The 24,977-nt window shown below is 39.5% G+C and overlaps 1 protein-coding gene across 1 annotated transcript in view; it reads left to right on the top strand.

Moving 5' to 3' along the window:
• OPN3 (opsin 3) overlaps positions 1-24,977 on the top strand; it is a 47,246-nt gene that overhangs the window by 18,911 nt on the left and 3,358 nt on the right. The window contains exons 2-3 of the mRNA NM_014322.3: positions 16,880-17,199; positions 23,462-23,713. Of these exons, the coding sequence (NP_055137.2) occupies positions 16,880-17,199; positions 23,462-23,713 (572 nt within the window). The remainder of the gene's footprint in view (positions 1-16,879; positions 17,200-23,461; positions 23,714-24,977) is intronic.

Below are 24,977 nucleotides of genomic sequence, written 5' to 3'. Positions count from 1 at the left end.
CACATTTGTCACACAGATGTGCAGGGAATATAAAACTTTAGCTGTCACCTCTTGTTCACAGCCTTAACTCTCCTTTCTGGATCATTCCCATCAGTTGACAAGTCGAGTCACCATCCCCAGTTGTCCCTTGACTTATGACTGTCTGTATTCTTTCTTCAAAGAGCCAGTCTTCTGATTGTCTACTACTTGCACCTCCATATCCTCAGTGAATTTTATTTTGTAATTTACTTAAAAGCTTTTAAATACAGAAAAATGCAAATAATAATACAATAAGGGTCCATGTATCTACTACCCATTGAGCAAAGACTGGTATTTCTATATTTGTTTTTATCTAAAGAATTAAAATATTGCAGATAAAATTCACACTTATGTATTTCCTCCATTCCATTTTACCTCCTTTCCCCAGAGGTCACCAACAGGGATTTAAGGTGAATCCAAGCAGTGCTTCCATCCTTTTGTTCACAGTTTATTTACACATTTTTCCCTTTTGATGGAGGTCCATTTCCTGTTTTTCACTATAATATAATAAACAATGCTTCAGAGTATATCTTTATAACATTTCTTCCTGCCCAATATGCACAGAGTTTCTCTAGGGTCATGCTGTCTAATATGATAACTACTAGTCACATGTGTCTCTTGAGCTCTTGAAATGTAGCTAGTTTATACTGAGATGTAAGTGTAAAATATTAATTATATTTCCAAGACTTCGTATGAGAAAAATATAAAATATCTCAATAATTTTATATTGATTAAAAATTGAAATAATATTTTGCATATATTAATGTGTTAGTTCAAGCTGCTATAACAAAATACCCTAAAGTGGGTGGCTTGTAAACACAGAAATTTATATTTCACAGTTCCAGAGGTTGGAAGTCTGAGATCAGGGTACCAGCAGGTTGGGTTCTGGTGAGGGCCCTCTTCCAGGTTAGTGTGCTTACTTGTGTTATCCTCACATGGCAGAAAGAGAACCAGAGTTAGCTCTGTGGCCTCTTACAACAGCACTAATTCCATTCACCAGGGCTCTGCCTTCATGGCCTAATCACCTTCCAAAGATGTCACCTCATACCATCACTCTGAGGGTTAGGGTTTCAGCACATGCATTTGGGGGGCCACAAACATCCAGTCCATACCAGTTGGGTAAAATAAAATATGTTATTAAAGTTAATTGCATCTGTTTCTTTTTACCTTTTAAAAATTTAAATGTTTGTGGCTCACATTATATTTCTACTGAACAATGCTGCTCTAGGGTTTATAATTAAACCTGAAATTGCTAGGCATGTACATGCTGGGCAAATTTTCAGATTGATTATTTTCAACTTCCCTCAGTCCCTCCCCTTTATTTAACACCCCCACCCCCAACCCTGCCCCACCCTGTATTCCCCAGTACTTGGTGAACTTTCCTCTGTCTGGGCTCCTCTGGCACTTAACATCTGTATGTCTCATTTGGCATTTCAAATACGCAATTTTGTATTTTACTTTGTTCTTTCATATTGCGTTTTCCCCTTTACATCAAGGACCATATTTTATGACTTTGCTTCTCCAGAACTAAACTCAGGGCCCTATACGTTAGAGCAACTCAAACATTTAAAGAAGATTTAGACACACCGGCCTGGTGACTGTCTGCTGTTAGGCTGTGATTTGTCCTGGAACACTTTTATCTGATTTACTTAGAATATGCCACAAGTTTCTTGTACAGCCAGGCTTCTGCTTTCCATAATGTGAGAGAATTCCCTAAGAAGTAACATCAGTCTGTTTCATGATGAAACTGCCCATGTCTCCCCAACAAGCTTCTCACTTCGTGATGGGTCTGGAGTCTAGGGAACTGGTGAGGCCAGGGTGAACCTCAAGGGCATTTAGTTAGATTTTCAAGAGCTTTTCATATGACATCACTTTCAGCCATTTTATGATATGCTGTGTCAGGTTCTATAAAATATGGCATTATTATAGTTTATTGGACTATAAGAAGCAGCAGAATTGCAAAAGACAAGGAGATAGGTAAAGAGGGATAAAAGCTAGAAATGAGTAAAGTACAGAAATCAGAACTGCCTGTATAAGCTAGAAAAGATGCCCTTTCCTCAGGGCTGGCTCAGCCTGGCACCCGGACATCGGTACTGACTCTCTCAACTAGGGAGCCTTGTGCATAGTATTACCTTTAGTGTCCCGTGCAGTACTGTTTTGTGAAATGTTAACGCAAATGAATGGTTCAGTTCTTATGTTGGGGCAATTTCCAAATTCCTAATATGCAGCCACTGAGCAGCAGATGGGGACAAAGGCAAGCAAGTTTTAGAGCCCAGTATGAAACAACCAGAAGGTTTTCCTGAAAGTTCTCAAGTTCCAAAGGATGAAGGAGTGTTGATGTAGAAAGATCCGTGAAGAATGAAGGGTTTCACACATAAAAGGCACCATAGCACTGAATTGTAAGTATGTACTGTCTCCTTGCCTGGAGTGATCCTTAATTATATCTGAAATATATATATATATATATAAACTAGCCTGCCCACTGGAGGCTTGAGGCATATCTCTTTATTCTCTATTTCTTAAAGATGTAGAAGAATTCTTAGATAAGATGAAATAAGCAAAAATAAATAAATACAAAAGTGGGTGTGCCAAAAAAAAAAAAAAGATACAATGAGAAAAGAAGAAAGCCTTAAACCTGGCATATACATGAAAGTCTTCTCATTGAACAGAACCATTCCATAGAACATTAAGGTCCTTAAATATATTCCCAATTCTGTGCTGCTGCCTGCACAAAGAGACACAGAACGATGGCGGTGTTGCTCTGCTGAAAACGATGGAGGTCAGCACGGACCAGAAATGGGCTGGCTGCGGAATCCATCAGAGACAGGAGAGAGGGCCACCCCTCTGCGCTGCACCTCTTGGTGTGGGATTGAGACTGAAGGCTTCAGAGGCATCTGGAGTGGTTTCTTGTGCTCCTGCACCAGTGATGGGAATTGAGGAAAACCTGGGAATTGAGCAAATAGTGATAGAGATTATATTAAAGGAAATCTGATTTTAATCTTGACCCATCGTTCTGAAAGTCAGGATCATCAGTGGTAACTTTGAAACTTACAGATATTCACGTTCTGTCCTAAGCCTACTGGATCAAGTATTTTCAAGGGCAGAGCCTAGGAATCAGCATTTTAAACCATCTCCTCAGGAGTTTCGTATGTAGCTATTTCAAAAGCTGGCATTTGGAAACAGCATTCTTATTAAAGGAAAGAGACATGCTGCTCTGATCCAGAAGGTGTTAAATTGAACATCAAAGAGATGAGTTAAATTCATGTTAACCCCAATTTGACAGTGTGGAAGAGAAGCTTGAAATAGTAGAATGTGAATGGGTCTGGGAACTAGCCTTGTTCTAACACCTACTTTGTGGTCTTGGGGAAAATATCTCATATTTCTAAAGTTTCCTTCTCCCACCTTCTTTTTTTTATTTTTATTTATTTATTTTTTTTAGTTCTTCATTACTTGACATTCTCAGATCAGGATGACTAAGACTTCCAAGGAAATGAGATTTTTCTTGCCTGTCCAGATTGTTCCACACTGGTCACCAATATGGGTTTTGCTTTATACTCCAACGCCTCCACCTCACAAGTTTGTTTACAACTTAAAGCATTTTGCCCAAACATAGAACTGCACAGGCTATATAGCAATTATGTTTTTCCTTAGCACGTTATATATGACAAGCTTCTTCTCTCATTCTTCTCATATGGTCCTGAGGTATCACATCACATTTTCTGGTTGATTAATTACTCACACACAATTACAGTGGAGCGTGTGATATTCATTCTTGAGAGAAGAGTCGCACTCGCCCTCTGTGTTTCCGTGCTCTCCATTTGCATCAGCAGCAGGGTAATAGAAAATGACTTAAATGGAATCAGTGTTGTTATCACCCGCTCTAAAACCTAAACCCTGAGCTCCCTTGAGAGCTTTGTAAATTATAAATGATGGAATGAAGATTTAATTCAGTGCCTCTGAGATTCCCTCATATTTTTCATTTGCTCTTCTGGGATATCGGATTTTTTTCATTTGCTGTCAGGTTAATAATCTAGGAAGGAACACTTAGAAACTAGACTCATCATTGCAGGTCACAGAGCTATTCCACAATTTATTCATGTGTTGAATGTTTTCATAGAATTAAAAAGACCTCAAGCTTCGCCATTGCTGAGAAACAACTTGCTTTGTGTAATCTTTTTGGGGAAAATCCAAATAGAGCTCCACACTAGCAGTCAGAAGGTCTGGGTTCTCATTCAAATAGAACCTTCCTAGTCTTGTGACCTTAGGCTAGTCACGGATATCAGCCCCTTTTCTCACACTCTCATCAAATGGGGACGATGAGACTTTCCTGCCTGACATGTCTGGAAAGATCTAATTAGAAAAATACATTAAAAAGTACTTTGAAAATTATAAAATATCATATGAAATAAAGTTATTATAATGTATTATTTTGATTAGAGAATAAGAGATGATAAATCCAACAGGATTGTCATTTGACTTTATAACACTCATAAAAATGAATATTTTATAGATTTTTTAATAGCCAAAAATTATCATGTAAGGACTGTCAAATCATATTTTGAGTTGAAAAAGTGATCCTTTAGGTAAAAAACAGCAGGGAGTTGGCCTTGTTTTACATTCTTCTGACCTGTGTATTGCTAGTTCCCTGAGGGAAAAAAAAATTTTTCATTGAAATGTCAACTGTGGCTATTTCTAAGCAACATTTCACCTGAGTGTTTGGTTAATTACAGGGATGACCATGTTTACTCCAGGATTTTTCCTTGTTATTTGGAAAGAAACATGGTCATGTGTATATAACTTTTATCAGCAGCAAATACATAATAATCCCTTGTACTATTCTCGGTGCCAAAATGATGTCAAAATACAAAGACATACTTAAGTATGTCATACTTAAGTTTACAATTTAATTGGAGAGGTAAGACATAAGTACACAGAATTGTACCAAAATATAGTAAGTAGGAAATAGCAGCCATGAAGATAGTCTGTTTGTGTTGTGGACGGACAGAGTGAGGTATGCACTAAGGAAGTTATAAATGGTGAAAGAGAAGGTTGACTAGGTAGTGCAAGAAATACACAGAGTTTCTTAATAGCCAGCATGCTATGCGAAGGGAGCTTTGCAGGTCATTATTCCAGAAAGGGCTTTGTGAAAGTAATAAGATGATTATCTTAGCACACGTTCCCCGCATATAAAGCCTAAGGCAAAGCATATATGCTAATGCTTTATTGGGGATCATAATCCCAGGGAATCAAAAGTAAGGGAATAGAGGAAGAGGCAGGGAAAGGAGGAGGCCAAATCTTAGAGAGAGGATGCACCACCGAGTTGGCCACGATTGGTCACTGGGTCTTGCAGGACATCTTCAGAGAGACCACCTGATACTAACGCAGCTTGAAACAACCCATGGCATGACAGGAGAGTGCAAGCAATCTAATCTCTGGCTTCTTCCTGTCTCTTGGCCATTGGTCCAACTCTGCTCCATGAGATGTTAATGTCCGTTTGCCTCTAGGTTGGATCAGCCAGCTTCAGGCAGCCACTAGGGAAGCCAGAGCCTCCATGGGTCCAGTGCAGCAAGGCACTATCTGCATGCAGGTATGCAATGGTGGTGACAGTGGCAGCAGCTGAAGCTTTGTAACTATAGTCATAGAGCCACCGCTGCTGGGAAGCAAGGCAAATAGGGCACACAGTTGGGAGTAGGAGCTTGTGAGTGGAGTCACGGAGATCTGGGATGGCACACGAATAGAGTCCAGTCAATGATTAATCTGGTATGTGGTGCCCAGGAGGATGACAAAGGCTGTACAAACAAAAGAAATTTAGTCATAGATGGCTGACAGCAGTCATTTACGGAATATGAACCTGCACTAGAATAGTGGGAATGGTATGAGGCACAGAAATGAATTTAGAAATGTTTCCTAAGAAAGGCTTTCTGTTGGTTTTAAAAGCAAATACGAGATAGGGGATAGAGGAATGGGAAAACTAAGCAAAACAATGTGTTCCTAAAGTGGATCAGAGTCTGATGCAGTTTTCTTGAGCATACTGTGGTAGGTTATCATAAAACCTAGATTGCTGTGTTCACGAAATAATTTTAAGTGTTGGAAACAAAGCGTATGCCTCCCATTTTATCTGTGGTACCACACTTCACACTTTTATTCTATGAGTGCAGTTGATTTAGGATTAGAATTTAGAATTCTCAGTTCCTGTTAAGTGCTTTCATCCAACTGTTTTTTTTTTTTTTTTTTTAGACTTTGGCCCCACTGTGCTTATGTTTGTTATTCTTCTGAACCTTAATTAATTCCACAGAGAAGTTACTTTATATTCAAACTTTTTTCCCACTCAGCCCATAGACTCTGGTCATACTGGATATTTCTTGGGTCTCTTAGTGTAATAATGATCCTTTTTTGCATTGTTAACCATCTTGTTCAATATCCTTTCCTGACGAGCAGAGGCATAAGTGTGGAAAAAGTTCTAATGAGGTCCTATTCCAAGATAGGGCTCTCCTTTTCCTTGGTTATGGTTTGTGGAGTTTAAGCAATTACTGGGGGGAAACAAACGCCTAAAGCTTTGTCAAATCAGAGGCAAGTCAAAAAGTCTAAGGCTAGGATATCTGTCCAAACGGGACTATAGGCAGAAAAGCCTAAGGCTAGGATATCTGTCCAAATGGGACTATGGGCAGAAAAGCCTAAGGCTAGGATATCTGTCCGAATGGGACTGTAGGCAGAAAAGCCTAAGGCTAGGATATCTGTCCAAATGGGACTATAGGCAGAAAAGAAGCCAAGTTTGAAGCCAGAATGGTCAGAGAACAAGGGGAGCTGATATTAAAAGAACCAAAGATAACAGAGGGGAGGTAAGCCTGGCACGATTTCCAAGCTACTGCACAGGTGCCCAGCGTAGCCTAGGAGGAGATGCTTATGGTGAAAAATGTCCGTATGTTTTAACAACTATGGCAACTATTTGCCCCGTGTACCCTATTTTTTAAAAAGTCACTAAATTTAATAGAAAAAAAATGCAATGCATGTGAAATACCAGTGAAGGATAGCATGAGTGAGCACAATGGAAACAACAGTGCAGCATTTTAAACTGTGAGCAGCTAGCCACAGACCACAGCATGTGGCCTGCCTCATTCAATCGTTCTCTTCTGGTAGTTCACTGGCCCTCTCTTAAGGGGCCTCTCAGTTTTAAATGCACTGCAAGCATTTGGGTAGCTATGACACACAATGGTCAGAAATACATTTCTATATAAGTTGATTACCTGAAATCATAATTTTTTTTTTTAATTTTGAGACGGAGTCTCACTCTGTTGCCCAGGCTGGAGTGCATTGGCATGATCTCGGCTGACTGCAACCTCCACCTCATGGATTCCAGCGATTCTCCTGCTTCAGCCTCCCAAGTAGCTGGGACTACAGGTGCGCACCACCAAGCCTGGCTAATTTTTGTATTTTTAGTAGAAACAGGGTTTCACCATGTTGGCCAGGCTGGTCTCAAACTCCTGACCTCAGGTGATCTGCCTGCCTTGGCCTCCCAAAGTGCTGGGATTACAGGCATGAGCCACCACACCGGACCTGAAATCTTAATTTTTTAACCCACAGAAAGGGTTTTAATTTTGATGTTGTGCTGGGTTTCCTTTGAAACTGAGTCATTGTGCACGAAATATGAAGACTACTGAACATGAAAATTTAATAGAATGCAGTTTCCACATCCTGATGTGGAAAACATGTATAATAAAAACCAACTACCACTTTGGTTGTTCTAGCAAACTGCTTTTATTGGTCAAATGGAAATCACTCATTCTAACAGCTGAGAGATATTATTCAAATGAAGGTAGTCTTTCATTTTCTCTAAAATTCTTCAATTTAAGAATATTGAGTTTAAAAAAATGACTTCTTCTGATATCAAAGTTAGACATGGTTACAGAACATACGTAGCAGACAATGGATTAAATATGCTTTCTATAGAGACTCTACATCACTAATATAAAATTTTTGATAATTCTCAAAGAAGAATTAGAAAACAAGTATAGCACAGCATGGACTTTGGAAGCAGACTGTGTGATTCGAGTCTTGGCTCTTTTATTTTTTAGCTTGTGACCTTGGCAAATGACTAAACCATTATTGCCTCAGTTTCTTCATCTGTAAAATGGGAATCGTAATTATAATTCCTACATGTCTCACAGAGTTGTTATGAAGATTAAGTGAGATAACACAGGCAAACTGCTTAGAACAGTCCCTGACTCATAGTAAGTACTCTCTATAAGTGTTAGTGGGCTGAAATTACTATTGTTAATTAAATAAAAAGGAGGAAGGAAACTTTCTCAACAAATAAGCAATATAAACAAGATTTCAAAGAAGAATTGGTTACTTGCTTAAAAGAACAAACTTTTTCAAGCATATTAAATGTACTGGTTTTCTTTAATATTGTTTCATATGACTAGATATTATAGGAGCAACAGGATGGTATGCCCGCTGCACGGTAACAGCCATGATTGAGTGGGTGCTGAGCGATGAGATGGAGGAGACCCTAAAATTCATCTCCCTGAGGAGATCTGGGTTGGGATTTTTAAGGGGACCATGAGGAGAAAGAGGATGGGAATTGGGGTCATTGATTGGTTGGGTTACGGAGGATGAAATCATCAGGATGTGGAAACTGCATTCTTTGGTGAGTCAGCTTCTCGTGGGATCCTTCAGGCAAGCTGATGTCAGTAGTTTCACTGGTACGTAGGACCTGAAAGAATATCTCAAATGGAAAACTTAACATTATATAATGTTCAAGCTGTTATCCATAGAGCAGTTAAGGGGAACTATAATTTTGTCACAGGGTCTACGTGATTCTGGGACAAGAGGCAAACAGCTATGAGGAAGCAGGTCAGAGAGCAAGCTGACCTCATAATCCATGCTGAATGTACCACAGGCTTGGTTTATTTTACATTCCCCTTGTCCTTTTTTCCTTGATTAATTTTATAAAGCTTCTAGGGATGGTCTCATAAAGACCACTACTTAGTAAAGTAGTATCTTTATTAAGCAATCTTCGTAGAGTTTTGTTTCCATTACTATCTGTGAACAAAAATAGTTAAACTGCATCTTTTTAAATTTCTACAAATTGATATATTTTTGAGTGAGCAAAATTTTCATTAATTTGAGAAAAATGCATCCACTTAGTTTGGAAGATTTTACTGTGTGCTCATTCACCCAGCCAACTCTGAAGACCACAAGACAGGTATTTACAGTTGCCCCATTTTATAGGTAGAGAATTTGAAACACAGTCCATCCAGATATTGTTCAAAATGATCCAGAGAATCTATGATGACATAAGTTATCCCCTAATCATCTTCACTTCCAAATTTACTTCTCTCCCATTTCTTTTCTAAGTCAATGCAACATCAGCTATTAATTATAACAAACCAGTAACCCAAGACTTGCTTTGATTCTTCTTCATTCATTCCCACAGCCAACAAAGATTAACTTCCTTAAATATGGTGGACCTTCCTCGTCTCTCCTTCCCTAGTGCCACTGCATCAGTTTCATTCCTTATCACAGTAACCATATTTCTCCACTAGGTTTCCCTAGAACCAGGCTTGGCTCACAATCCATTTTCCTCATTGCAGCCCAAGGGAACTTCCCATAAGGAAAACCTCCAAAAGCAAAATCAAAAGAAAATAAAATTCTCTAGAATTGTATTGTAATGGAAGTGAACAAAAACAGCTTAATGGCTCCTCAGAGCCCTCGGGACACATTCCAAGCTCCACGCATGGCATTTAAGGGTTTTCTAGGAGAGTCCTTAGTCTTTTCATTCTCTGTTTAGAACTCCGTCCTACCATTTTGAATTATTTGCAGGCACCTAAATGGTGCAAGCTCTGTCAGATCTCCATGTATTTACATAAGCTGTTTTCTCTTCCTGGAATAGGATAAGAGGATTGGCTGTCACTTCACTTCCCCATCATTTTTTTTTTTTTTTTTTTGGCCTTGTTAAAGTGTGCTTAATCTTTAAGACTCACTCAGGTGGTACCTGCTTCCCACAGAAAATACCCTGAGTTGGGTGTTCCTCCTCCCACTATAGGCAGAGTTTCTCCTTCTACCTCCTTCTCTGGATTATGTGCTCCTTGAAGGCATGGGTTTCGTCATAGTAACCTTTTCATACAACAGATAAGGATTGACAGGTCTCGGTCATGGCCTTTTTTGAAGCACGCTCTTCTGTTTAGTGTGAACTTGCTTACCCCAGTCTAGATACTTGAACTATAAATAAGCTATTCAATGTGGCCATCTAGTGGCCAAAGTGAGAAAATAACTGTATTATTGGGTAGTTGTATATTGATAAACACACCTTGTATTAATATTTAAGCTCCAGAGTTGTATTGATATTTAACCTCCAGAGCCCTGTCCACTCCCATGCCTTCCACCCACTTTCTACTACTTAAAGCAATTTAGCTCCAAGATATTCAACTATTCAGTAATAATAATAATACCTTACGCATTACCACTTTACTAAACATGTATATTCTCATTTAATACAGCCACACACCCACACGATGAGACAGCATTTTGGTACTATTATCTCAGTTTTACTGGTGAGCAAATTGAGATTCTGGGATGTTAATTAATTTTCCCATGGTCACAGAGTAATTATGTGAAAAAAAATGAAATTGATCTGAAGTCAGACGACATTCATTAGGTAATATGGAGAAAACTGGAATTGAATACAGGACTTTTGGCCTCAAACATATGTCTCTATTACTGAATTTATCACATTGTTTTATAGTAGTTTACTTCTCTGTTTATAATTCATCTTTTTTTCTTATTGTCTAGCACAGTGCCTGACACACAGTATGTGTATGACATGTGTTTGTTGATAAATATTGCAAATGAGTGTATAATCATTAAGTTATACCGGAAAGAACTATTTGACTCAAACTGATGCACAGAGTAGACATTTAAATATATATTTTCACTTCTGTGCTTTTATACATACTGTATCCTTGGCCTTGAAATATCCTCACTCTTGTCAACTTGATAAAATTCTCCTGTTCATCAATTCAAATGTTGCTTTCCCTTAAAACCTTCCCCAGTGTTTCCCCAGGCAGAGATAAGTACTTCCTCCATTGCATTCTCCAGCTCCCCGACACAGCTTTGTTTAACTCTTATCACATTCCTGTAATTGTTTGTTTACACATCTGTCTTCTCCAGACTGTGAGATCTTTGGCAGCAATTCAGGCAGAAGGAACAGCAGTATCAAAGCTGCCAGCTCTGAGTGAACATGCCGGGCAGTTTGCAGCCTGGGCATGGTGTGTATCCCGTTGCAGCAAGCTTAGGCAAAGCCTAATGATATGCCAACGAGATTTGATTTTACAGACCGCTGTCTTCAAAACCGCTGGGGGGTACATAAGCCCTTTCCAATGGTTCCAATTTTGAAATGTTTATATTACACAATTCTTTAAACTTAAGACAAAAAATGTAGATGTCACAGTTTAAATATGGTTGTATACATAGTTTTTCAAAATTCTATTAGGGAAAACAGTAAGAAAAAGATGGACTATCCCTGCTGTGGACCATGGACAGCCATGGAAGGCAGATCAGCTTTGCGCCATCCCCTGTAGTGACTGACCTTCCCACCTCTTGGTCCTGGCTCCACACCCCAGAGTCCAAGGCACTCTTGCAATAATTCAAGGAGGCTTCAGCTAGAAATGCCCATTTCATTCCTTTCTGTTCCTTAACACCTATTCCATCTTTTATGACCCAACTTAAGCTTTATCTCTGAATGAAGCCAGTAGTCCACTGGGATTTTACTTTTTCTGGTTTGTTTTTGCACCATAACTTTGACATATGATCACATATCATCTTACATTGTTCTGTAATGTTGTGTGTGATATAAAAATACAGTATTGCAGTCTTCTTGAGGGTAGGACCACATGTCTCTGGTTTCTCCAAAAGACCTACTCAGCACAGTGATAGGCACATACCTGATCCATCTGCAGCTTTGCAGCGAAGGCACAGACATCACTTTACCACTGGTAGAATTTGTGGAGAGGTAGAAGTCACCCTTTAGTGGCGGCAGGTGGTATTAAGACAAAATCACAGGATTTGGAGTAAGTCTTGGGTTCTCAAAACTGTCTCCACCACCTGTTGGTGGAGACATCAATTCCTTAACCCTTGGAGCCACAGACCTTCTTTCCAAAAGAGTGCATATCATATGTGGAGTGATGATCATGGGACCTGGTGCATAACCGGCACCCAGTTTGCAGCACTCATCATTCCCATTGCTTTTCAGTGTTCACGGAAATGGATGCACCATTTGAAGTAGAATTTGGTTGTCTTCCTCATATCTGCTCATGTACCATGTAGTTTTTATTTGCGTTAATAAGGCTCAACATCAGTTAAAGGTCTAAAGTAGTTGTAAGACAGTCCTTTCATTCTTATCCTCCTGGTGGAGTGTTGTGGGAATCAAATAAAATACAGCAATTAATTCCAACTCAAGACCAAAATTTGTTAGTAAATAAAGCATTGATGGGAGAAGGGCTGCATATTTTGCAAGGAAGATGTAGATTAGATCATTTCAGTTGGGTTACCCTCGAAGACTAAGTCAGTCTGACTCATGCTGCCACTCAGTTATATGCTCATGCTATCAGGGAGGACTTGGGAAATACAAGGTTTGCTAGATCTGTACTAACATGTCATGGTACATAACAGCTGAAATCAGGCACCTGAAACTCATTGTGCTTGCTAAGACACAGGCTTGATCAAAAACGATATTAGTAAATGTTAAAGTCTCTTTGACCAAAATAACCAGAAGGAAAGTGTTACTAACCTCTTGCACCCTGACTTATCACAAGGCTGGGATTTTTCATACTTCAGCTCTGAGTGCAATGGGTCTTTTCCTGACAGCCTGCCAATAGCAGCTGCGTCCCTTTCTGTGTCCTTCCCACCATGCCTCACATTATCCTCTATCCCTGCACTCTCTATTCTTCATAGCACTGCACTGATTTGCTTGTTTGATTTGTTTTTTTATTGTCTCTCTTACCCACTGGACCTTAAGGCCATGAGGGTTGGTTTCACTCACCTCTTTATATTTATTTTCTAGCACAGTGACTGAAACATCACAAGCAATAAGTAATGACTAAATGAATGAATGAATATATGAACATGATATGCTCATACCAGCTTATTTTACCAGCTTATTGCTTTCACCATAAGAACTCATTTATTCCTCTCTAAGGTACATTGAAATTTACTAATTTACAACAGTGCAATTATTTGTACTGAGTTTTCTTGCCTATGAAAGACTAAATCGTATTCAATGTAAATCAACTAAAAGTTGAGTGCCAAACTATGTTTTAACACATAAAGGCAGTTATAAAAGTAAATACCATTATACTTAATAAGAAAGTTTGTAAACTACGTAAAACCAACAGTATTTCATTAGCGTCAACTTATGTCATTTTCTTTAGGTTTTTAGATTTTTTTTTCTAGGAATCTAATCAGGTAAAGAAAGGATAATATCACTTTTTAGATAAAAATTTAATAAGGTAAAAATAGACTTCTGAATATGAAAGTCATCTACCTTGATACTTTCATTGTCCCAATAATCACTACTGTGATTTGAATTAAATCCATTATTTGCTATATTTGCTATTATATCATTACTTTCTTTCTTTTTCTTTCCTTTTCCCTTCCTTCCTTTCTTCCTTCCTTCCCTCCTTTCTCTTTCTTTCTTCCTTCCTTCCTTCCCTCCTTTCTCTTCCTCTTTCTTTCTCTTCCTTCCTTCCTTCCCTCCTTTCTCTCTTTCTTCCTTTTTCTTTCTTTCTTTCTTCTTTCTTCTTTCTTCCTTTTTCTTTTTCTTCCTTCCTTCCCTCCTTTCTCTCTTTCTTCCTTTCTTTCTTTCTTTTCTTTCTTTCTTTCTTCCTTCCTTCCTTCCTTCTTGCTCTCTGTCTGTCTGTCTGTCTGTCTTTTGATGGAGTCTTGCTCCATCGCCCAGGCTGGAGTGCAGTGGCACAATCTCAGCTCACTGCAACCTCTGTCTCCGAGGTTCAAGCAGTTCTCCTGTCTCAGCCTCCGAGTAGCTGGGATTACAGATGCATGCCACCATGCCTGTCTAATTTTTGTATTTTTAGTAGAGACAGGTTTTCACCACGTTGGCCAGGCTGGTCTTGAACTCCTGACCTCAGGTGGTCTGCCCACCTCAGCCTCCCAAAGTGTTGAGATTATAGGTGTGAGCCACCACGCCCAGCCTTATACCATTATTCTCTGAAGTATTTTCTTCCACTTGATTCCAAAACCCAATCTTCTTCCGGTCACTTGAGTATTTAGTAAATTTCGCTTATTAATTCAAAGAACATTTATTGGATGCCATGTGTGTGAGACACTGGGAATAATATTGCTCCCCACCCTCCAACTCCCACAGAAGAACAAACCTGTCATGGTATAAATGAATATTAACTATGTTATACCAATTGCTTTCTGAGTCCAGCACCTCTGTATTTCATTCTTATTAATTGCAGAATCGTGAAATGTTAAAATATGAAGGGATTTTCAATTTTATGAAAACAAAAAGAGATTGTTTGATTTGCTGAAAGTTACAGAGCTATTTCGTGGGGAGCTGGGACTTGCCTCCAGGCCTCTTAACCCGTTTGCCACCCACACCCTTTTCTCCCTTACTTCTCAGGAGACCAGTCTTATTTTCATTCTTCATTTGAACTGCTTTTCTTTCAGTCTCTCTGCGTCCACTCATTCAACAAATATTTATGCTCCAGGAAGCTCACGATTTTATTGTCTTCCCCACATCTGTTCATACACCTTGTGGTTTTTACTTCAGTTCATGTAATCACTCGCTATTCCTTAGGCAGGTTAGAAACCTCCAAGTTATTTTATTTATTTTATTTATTTATTTATTTATTTATTTATTTATTTATTTATTTTGAATCAGAGTCTCACTCTTGTTGCCCAGGCTGGAGTGCAATGGCACGAACTCGGCTCACTGCAACCTCCACCTCCCTGGTTCATACAATTTTCCTGCCTCAGCCTCCCAAGTAGCCAGGATTACAGGCTTCTGCCACCGCGCCCAGCTAATATTTTGTATTTTTAGTAGAGACAGGGTTTCGCCATGTTGGCCAGGCTGGTCTTAAACCCCTGACCTCAGGTGATCCACCCGCCTCGGCCTCTCAAAGTGCTGAGATTACAGGTATAAGCCACCGTGCCCAGCCAAAAACCTCAAAGTTACTTTTAACTCCTCTCGCCCCTCACGCCTCACATTCGATAAGCAGATAGATTCTGTTGATACCAGTTGCTAAATGTTTCTGGAATCCAGACTTTGTTGTTCATGCCTTTTAATGTCATCCTAGCTGAGGTCCCATCATGTCTTGCCTGCTGTTGCAATAGCCTTCAAGTTGGTTTCCATGGCCTCCAATCGTGTTTTACATTCTCTACTACTGCCAGAATGAGCATTCACTACTGAAGAAAAAGGAGGAGGAGGAAAAGGGGAATCTAATGATGTAAAAGGACAAGAGAGTAACAGATTCATAATTTACTATTTCATAGAGGAAAAGGTTAAAAAATAAAAAAAATTAAAATAACACAAACGTTAGCTAGAAGTTAAAAGCCTTTGTCAATGTGGCTCTCTCTAAATTTCTCTTTCCATCTCCTGTGAGCCCTGACATCTTTGAATCATCGTTTATAGACCCCTTGGTGTCCTTTTACGTCTCCATGCTCTGGTACATATTTCTTCACTCTTCCTGGAATGTGTTTCTGCCTTGTGTGCAAATGCTTCCCTTTCTGTGTCTCCAATCCATTGTGTGGCAGTGGGAGCATTCACACATTGCATGGTCATTGTCAGTGTTTACACACGTACATTCCCTTCAGACATCTAGAGTTCTGTCTCTTAGTCACCATGGGCCATCCACTGCACAGTGCCTGGCACATAGTAGGTGCTTGTTAAGTGAGTACCTTACTCTCTGAAGGTGACAGAGAAATATACAAACAGTATCATTAAAGCGGACTTGTTGCAAAATAGCGGTACACGTGAAGACCATGCAAGCCCAGAAGACCCCCTGACCCCTGTCAGCAATCCTTGTGTGTGAACAGTTTGTATGCTGACATCTGCTGGTAGTACGCAGGTTACGGCAGTCCTCTGCATCATTTTACTGCTACTTCATTCAGCTTGAGCTTTTGCAACCCCCTTTGACTTTACCTCTAATAGCTGAGTCAGAGACAGCCAAGAGAAGGTAAACTAAAAGAGACACTTGCTCTAGTGACTCTCCCTTACTCGTTCTGGAATTTCTCTTCAGGAGAAAGTTTAATACAATAGGGGCATCTTTGGGGTGGGGCTGATTTAGGGCTTTTAATTTTTGTCTAATCTTTTTTTAATCTGCATGGCATTTTCCATTTTATTTTATTTTATTTTTTTTTTTTTTGAGATAAGGTCTGGCTCTGTTGCCCAGGCTGGTGTGCAGTGGCGCAATCTCAGCTCACTGCAACCTCGACCTCTCTGGGCTCAAGCAACCCTCCTGCCTCAGCCTCCTGAGTAGCTGGGACCACAGGCGTATGGCACCACATCTGGCTAATTTTTGTATCTTTTGTAAAGACAGGGCTTGCCATGTTGTCCAGGCTGGTCTTGAACTCCTAGGCTCAAGCAATCCTCCCACCTCAGCCTCCCAAAGTGTTAGGATTACAGGCGTGAGCCACTGACTGCCCTTCTGTGGTTCCTTTTATGGATAACTATTTTCAGTATAATTTCCTTGGGACTATAGACACTATTACTCTTGGCTTTGAGAGCACTCTATCGATCTCAGATACTCTGTAAGGTATTTCCAGTGGAGAATGTATCACGTCTCTTATGCCCGGTTTCCCCCTGCACCATGCTATACTTTTCCACTTTCTCTTCTTGCAGGGATTGTTTCCATTGCCACCCTAACCGTGCTGGCCTATGAACGTTACATTCGCGTGGTCCATGCCAGAGTGATCAATTTTTCCTGGGCCTGGAGGGCCATTACCTACATCTGGCTCTACTCACTGGCGTGGGCAGGAGCACCTCTCCTGGGATGGAACAGGTACATCCTGGACGTACACGGACTAGGCTGCACTGTGGACTGGAAATCCAAGGATGCCAACGATTCCTCCTTTGTGCTTTTCTTATTTCTTGGCTGCCTGGTGGTGCCCCTGGGTGTCATAGCCCATTGCTATGGCCATATTCTATATTCCATTCGAATGGTGAGTTGAAGACTACAGATGCCCCCCTCCCAAACCACATCCAGGGTAGAAAATTTTGTCTGGAAAATAATGAAAGTCTTCCTATGTCATCAGTAGTTGCCCAGAGGTAGAGCAGTTCTAGGGGACTTCCCATCTGGTTGAATTTTATGCTATGAGTCACTCTCTGGAAAGATCAATGCGGAATAGCATTTACTCTCTCTACATCCCTCTCTCAACCAAAAGAAGGAAAGAAAAATCTTCTGACTGACAAAATCAGCAACCAAAAAACCCTACATTATCCAACACTCTTAAAATTTAAGAATTTAAAAGAGGGAACTCCACACTTCCCATAACTTTGTTTATTCAGAGGTCATATGAATTTGACTAGAGAACAGCACAGATGTTTTGTTTGGCGATCACACCAGAGTCATAAAGGGTAAGAACTGACCACAAACAATTTCACGTTGGGTGCCAACAAGAACTTTCCAGTTTGAACTCAAACCCAGTGTGGAACAGGCTCCACTTCCCAGTCTCTAGCTTTGGCCATGGATGTTTCCTTCCTCATTCACTGATTCTTCCAACTCTATTCTCTGCTTCTGTCTCTAGTCTCTTGCTCACTCCGTCAAACCCTTCTAACTTTCACCTTTTTAAAAAATCGGACTTAGCTACATGCATCACTTTAAATCATTTGTTTCTACATTCTTTACATATGCCAACTTTGTTAAAGACAAAATCCCTAGATCAGTTCAATCATCTATTTTCTCTATGCCTGTAGTCAAACTGCAAGGAGGAGCTGGAAAAAAAAAAACAAAACACATCTGTCTACACTTAGATGTCCTCTCAGCCTTGTTCTACCAACCTTTCTATCCCTGTATGTGTGGTCTACTGTCTCCACACTGTGACTATTACACAGACTCATTTCTCATTTTAATTTCTCACCCTACTGTCTCCTCTCATTCTTATCAAGTAAGTCTGCTTCTGATTTATCGGACCAAACAAAGCCATTATCAAGGGTTCCTTTGACTCCTTACCTCTCTTTACACAAACCACTGATTCTTAGGACTCTCTCTTCAGTTACAGGGCGACAGGAGAGGTCTCCCAGGACCAACTCGATTCTGTATTCTGATTGCTCCCCCACCCCCTTCCATGCCCCAGAGACACTTCTTAATAATTTTCTCTTTCCCTTGTATCTTCACACTCTCCCTTACCACTGGCCCTTTCCCTTTAGCATATTACCAGGCTATTTTGTTTTTAATCACAATCTACTCTCAGCTCCCTCTAGCTATCACTTTATTTTTCTCCATTTTGTCACTGCTAACTCAAAGAACCATTGGTGACTCTTGGTGCCACAATGTCACTCACTAAGCATTCATTTACCTGATATTTATTGAGCATATCAAATATGCCAATTTCTTGCTGTTATAGACTGAATGTTTGTGTCCCTCTCAGATTCCTACGTGGAATCTCTAACCACCGATGTGACAGTATTTGGGGATGGGGCCTTGGGAGGTAATTAGGGTCAGAGGAGGTCATGAGGATGGGGCTCTGGTCTGATGGGATTAGGGGATTAGTGTCCTTGTAAGAAGAGACACCAGAAAGCTTGCTCTTTCTCTCTCTCTCTCTATCTCTATCTCTCTCTCTCTGTCTCTCTTTCTGTCTTCCCACGAGTGCATAAATAAGAGAACATGGAAGCACACAGTGAGATAACAGTCAAGAGAGGAGGCCTCAGAATGATACCTACCTTGCCAGCTACTCTACCTGGGACTTCCCAGCCTCCAGAACTGTGAGAAATACATTTCTGTTGTAGTTCAGGGAGTTGGTAGTTTAGTAAGTTTATCTAGCATTCATTCCTCAACTTAAGGCAAACTTGTGACTCCTTCCTCTACCGCACTGCCACTAATACAGCCCTCATTTCAGGTCATTGATGAGCTCCCAGATATGTGATCCCATGGACACATTTTTATTCCTTTCTAGCATCCTCAGCGTTTGAGACTATTGCCAACTTCTACTTTCTTGTGGTGGTCTCCTGCCATCGATTCTAGGGCGCCTTTCTCTGCTGTCTTTGTTGCTGACTCTCTGGCGCCATCTTCTTATCTCTTCCAAGGGCTTCTCTTCTTTGGGCCTCCCCAGCATCCTATGTTTAGCTCTTGTCCCATGCTACACACTGGCCTTGGGTGGTCTTTCATACTGCCAGGATTTCTCCTTCTGACACAAGCTTGATAACATCTCCATTTCCAGTTCAGGTCTTTCTTCCAGCCTCTAACAGATCCTCGTAGTCAATTGCCTCTTGAACACCTCCACTTGGATGGTCCACAGACTCATCAAATTTAACAAATATAAAGATTAATTTGTCATATTTTCCCTAAAATCTTCTGCTCGTCTATTTGCTTTCTCATTGAATAGTCATCATTCCTAGATACCAAGACCAGAAATTAGGGAGTAATCTTTGACTATGTGTCATCCATGTCTCCCCCAACACACAACTATTGATCAGTTCTTATCCATGCCACTTACATGTTTTTTTGTTTCGTTTTGTTTCTGTTTGTTTGTTTGTTTTGTTTTGTTTTGTTTTTTGAGACGAAGTTTTACTCTTATTGCCCAGGCTGGAGTGCAATGGCAGAATCTCGGCTCACTGCAACCTCCGCCTCACAGGTTCAAGCAATTCTCCTGCCTCAGCCTCCTGAGTAGCTGGGATTACAGGTGCCCACCACCATGCCTGGCTAATTTTTAAAATATTTTTAGTAGAGATGGGGTTTCACCATGTTGGCCAGGCTGGTTTCGAACTCCTGACCTCATGATCTGCCCGCCTTGGCCTCCCAAAGTGCTAGGATTACAGGTGTGAGCCACTGCTCCTAGCCCTATATTTTTTGGTATATCCATTTTTTCCTCTCCCACTGCCACAGACTCAGTTAAAAAAAAAAAACTTAGTTCTCCTTTTTAAAATTTTTGCTTTCCTCTATTCCATTCTTTACACACTGCCATCAGAGTAGTTGTTCTCAAGTATTACCTTCAGAAGTTCCACTGTCTTTGTGACTCAAAATAAAGCCCCTGGGTGTGGCCGGCAGGTCCTGTATGGCATCTCCTGTCTACCTGTCCAGCCTCATTTCTTGACACTCCTGTCTTCTTGCCACCTCATGATGCGGCCAATGGTAATATTTCTTGTTTTCAGAAACTGACTTTTTATTTTGCCTCTTGTCTTAGCACACTTTCTTTCTCTGGAACATTCTGTCTCTCCTCCTTACTTGACTAATTCCTCCTTCCCTCACAAGGCTAACAGCACGATTTTCTTGCTCTAACCCACCCTCAGAACCAGTTTCCCATCCTGTGTACTACCATATCCTCCCTGTTTACCTCCCTCATGGCTTCTACCCGCTCAGTGTGCATCATCCTCACCAAATAGTGAATTCCTCAAGAGCAGAGACTGGGTCTTATGTATTTTCTCACCTGTGACTGGAACAGTGTCTGCATGTAGTAGGTAATCAGTGACTATTTTTGGAATGAGTTACAAGCAGAGGGCATAGAAAGGGGAAGACAGGAGAAGGGGTGAAAGTGTGAAGAGATTTGACTTTAGCTGCTATCTAAACAGAGAGCTCACTGCAAGTAATTTGCCTCCGTTTCCTTATTCAGAGAGAGGTGACTCATAACAACGATGGAGACATAGCTACACACTTGAGAATGAAGATTCACAGTGAAATTCTTTGAAAATCTACAGATGTCTTGGATTAAGGAGCACTAGGCACCAGCCATTTATACAGCCAGAGAACAATCTGATAGAGAATTCTGAAGAATTTGTCTTAGCTGGTTCATTCTTTAGGACAAATTTGTGCCTGTGCCAATCATTTCAAAATTGCTTCATCCATAGCAATTTTGAAAACTATCCTCAAATGATTGAATAAAGAGGGTAAGACATGAAATCGAGTTTTTTATTTGGAAAATATTTAATGAGCAGAATGAAGGAATAGAAAGTAATGAAAGAAAGAGGCCTGAAAAAGATAAATAAAAAATAATCATGAAAACTTCACATATATAAACCCAAATAATCTAAAACATTAGTCAATATCTTCTCCTTATCCCAAAGAGGAACTGGGGATGTATAGACAAACATTTATTTAAATTAATTTCCCCAGCATGCATGTAATTCCAAGATGGATAAATGAGTGTTCTCCTTTGATAAATGGCGAGAGGGGATAAAGACTGACCTGCCCAGAAAATGGTACAGATAAAACGATTGGACCTAAATACTGGAGGTTTGGGAGGCAGATAACTGAGATGTGGTTATGTTGCTTGTTAATTGAAACTCTGAAGAGTCAATAATGATTCCAGATATCCTATAGTATCATAAATGTACATATACATACAAGTGTGTTAGTCTCATATCTAGTTCAAATATAAATAAGTATTTAACCTCAAAAACAACCCCACAAAGTCATACGTGTGGAAATGGAACTCAAGTTCTGTTAATTCTCATAGGTTTTTTTGCTTTACCTCCTTTCTTGTTTACTCTTAGAGGAGGTTGTTGACTTGCTCAATATCACACTGCGAGCAAAAGTGGTTAATCTGGGATATAAACTTAGATCTTCTAATTCCAAATCTAGACCTTTTATCAAAACCCCACAGCCTTCCTATAAACTAGGGAAGCTCCCCCAAAATGATGTTTTGAAAATAGAAAAATATTCTATCCCATTAAATAAAACAGTTTCTTTTAAAATAGAATTGCACACACAGAATAGTAGTATTCGGTTGGTGCAAAAGTAATTGCGGTTTTTGCCGTTAAAGGTAAACCTTTAAAGGTAACCTTTTTTAAAGGTAAATTATTTACCTTTCTGCACACCAAAAATATGTTCCTAAATAAAAATAGTTATCTCTGAACATTGTAATAAGTTATATGAATTTTACTACAAAAATACAAATACTTTATATATTGATTTTTTAAAGTAATTGGCATAGTGGTAAAGGAATATTATTTACCTTTAAATAAGGTGACCTTCAAAGGTTTACCTTTAATGGCAAAAACCACAATTACTTTTGCACCAAACTAATACCAGAAATTTAATACCCACTTTTCCCTGCACATAGTCTCTCTACCCTAAAAAAATCAATGATTTAAATTTTTCCTATTTCTCTCTATTCTTTGCTAATCTGAATACATGATTTTGATAAGAATATAATTTCTTAAATATAATTTTGGATATCAGTAATTTGAGAATTTTAATTAAAATATATTTCTAAATAATCTAAGCACATGTTCTAAATGATTTCTTTGGAAATTCTTTCTCTTAATTTTTATGATAATGCTAGAACCAAAAGGTACACTTAGAGTTCATTGAAATGCAGTAAATTTCCAGGCATAAAGTAATCAATACTAAGTATTAACTATATGCTAACTACTTAAAAAATCAATATATAGAGTATTTGTATTTTTGTAGTATAATTCATATAACTTATTACAATGTTTAGAGAGAACTATTTTGATTTAGGAACACATTTTTGGTGTGCAGAAATATTCTTTGCCTGTGTATTATTATGACACATATATAATAATAGGAGAAACAGCAAAAAGAAACATATTCAAGAAACTCAAAGAACTTTCAGGCTGTACATCATTACTCCTCCATCCCTTTAATGGGAACAGACTGCGAGTAGACAGGCTGGTTTTAGAGGAAGGAGTTGTTTTACCAAGTGCTGTTCTCTGCAAGTGATCCCCTAATGAAGCCAATCACAAACAAATTTCTCCTGAAATTCTACTTTACAGTCATTAGCAGTGAATTGAAAAGCTGGTTTTCAGTAAGAATTCACTTGGGAATTAAGTGCTCATCAAGGCCAGCTGCAGGCTTAATCATGCAGAACACCTGACATGACATGGGTGTGCAGTCTGATTTGAGAACTGGAGGACTAACACTCTATAGAGTTTCCAGGATCACAGGGAAATTCTTTGCATTTTATCGTGACTCTCTCAGGCTGTCTTTTAGAGACTTGAAGATCTAGGCAAAATAATGTTATTCTTATTAAGTAAATAAGAGAACGTCAAAAAAAACACTGAAGGATGTAGGAGGCTCTGTAGCTCAACCACCCTATGTTGTAAGTGGGGAGACTGAGGCCCGGCAAGGTTAAAGCTGGACTCAGCTATGAGTCTTGGATCAGAAGTCAGCCTGCCAAGGTGCCATTCAGTTCTCTTTCCATTTAGGTGGGGCCAAGAATGGTGTCTGAATATCTGTTATAAAAACAACAAAAGAAACCCTTCTTTTGTTTTTTAAGCCCTTTCCTTTCTTTCTCCTTTCTGCAGCTTCGTTGTGTGGAAGATCTTCAGACAATTCAAGTGATCAAGATTTTAAAATATGAAAAGAAACTGGCCAAAATGTGCTTTTTAATGATATTCACCTTCCTGGTCTGTTGGATGCCTTATATCGTGATCTGCTTCTTGGTGGTTAATGGTCATGGTCACCTGGTCACTCCAACAATATCTATTGTTTCGTACCTCTTTGCTAAATCGAACACTGTATACAATCCAGTGATTTATGTCTTCATGATCAGAAAGGTAAGCTTTGCAATTAACTGATTGTTTTCACCCTGGGCATAGAGTTGGAAATGACAGTGTAATACTTTTACAGAGGTGATTCAGAGTCGCTTCAATTAAAAAAAAAACAAGAATTTTTTAGGAATTAAAGGGATCTGGAAGAAATGTAGAATATTTCCAAAGAAAATCATAACAATTCTAAGAACTACCCATAGGGATTCACACTTGTTAGGTAGAATTCTAGTAAAACTAATATTTAATTCATCAGAAAATAGTTTATGCCTAGTAATAACAGCTACAATGTTAATAATACATTTAAAATTCCTACTGTACCAAGCAAGTTACAAGCAAGTCACAAACAAGTTACAAGCCAGTTTACAAAACTCCACAAAATAGGCACTAATATTATTCCTTGTTTTATTTATGGGTTATGAATAAGTTCAGAGAAGTTAAATAACTTGCCCAATCCAGGAAGTATTGGTGCCAGGATTTGAACCTAGTTTGCTCAAATCCCCAAATCCAGTGCTTATAACTCCTCACTTGGGGTTATAGATACTTGTAGCAATTGGCCTGGGTTGTTATTCACATGCCACAGCAAATGTCTAGCCTAAATTAATTTGGTTCAAGAAACTTCCTGGGCCTGGTGTGGTGGCTCAAGCCAGTAAACCCAGCACTTGGGCATGCTGAGGCAGAAGGATTGCTTGAGCTAAGAGTTCAAGACCAACCTGGGCAACATAATGAGATGCCCCGCTCTCTCAAAAAAAAAAAAGAAAAAATTAGCTGGGCATGGTGGCATGTGCCTTAGTCGCAGCTACTCAGGGGCCTGAGATGAAAGGATCTCTTGAGCCCAGGAGGTCAAGGCTGCAGTGACCCACTATCGCACCAGTGCATTCCAGCCTGGGCGACAGAGCGAGACCCTGTCTCAAAAAGAAGAGGAACTTCCTTATCATCTGTTTCTGTAGTTGAAAGGTTTTGACTTGATGGCTATGAGTCATGGCTAGGAGAGCCCACAAAATGATTATTATAAAGCTGAGCCTCTACGTTTCAGAGAATTTAAAAGTTAAAGATAATGCTTAATTACTCCATTGGAATTTTAAAGATAACAGGTCATAATAATAACAGGCAATAATAATCACTGTGACTTCTAATGCTCAAGAATGTGGAAGAAGAGGGCACTTTTGTAATAACCTTATTATGTTCAGTGCTAAATCTCTCTGCCTCTTATTTTGCCTTTCCTTCTCTTTGAGTATTATTGGCTTACACTCTCCATAAACTCACTTTCACC

Source organism: Homo sapiens, chromosome 1, assembly GCF_000001405.40.
Source record: "Homo sapiens chromosome 1, GRCh38.p14 Primary Assembly".
Lineage (NCBI taxonomy): Eukaryota > Metazoa > Chordata > Mammalia > Primates > Hominidae > Homo > Homo sapiens.
The sequence above is the reverse complement of the archived record's forward strand: the minus strand, read 5'-3'. Positions and strand labels throughout refer to the sequence as shown.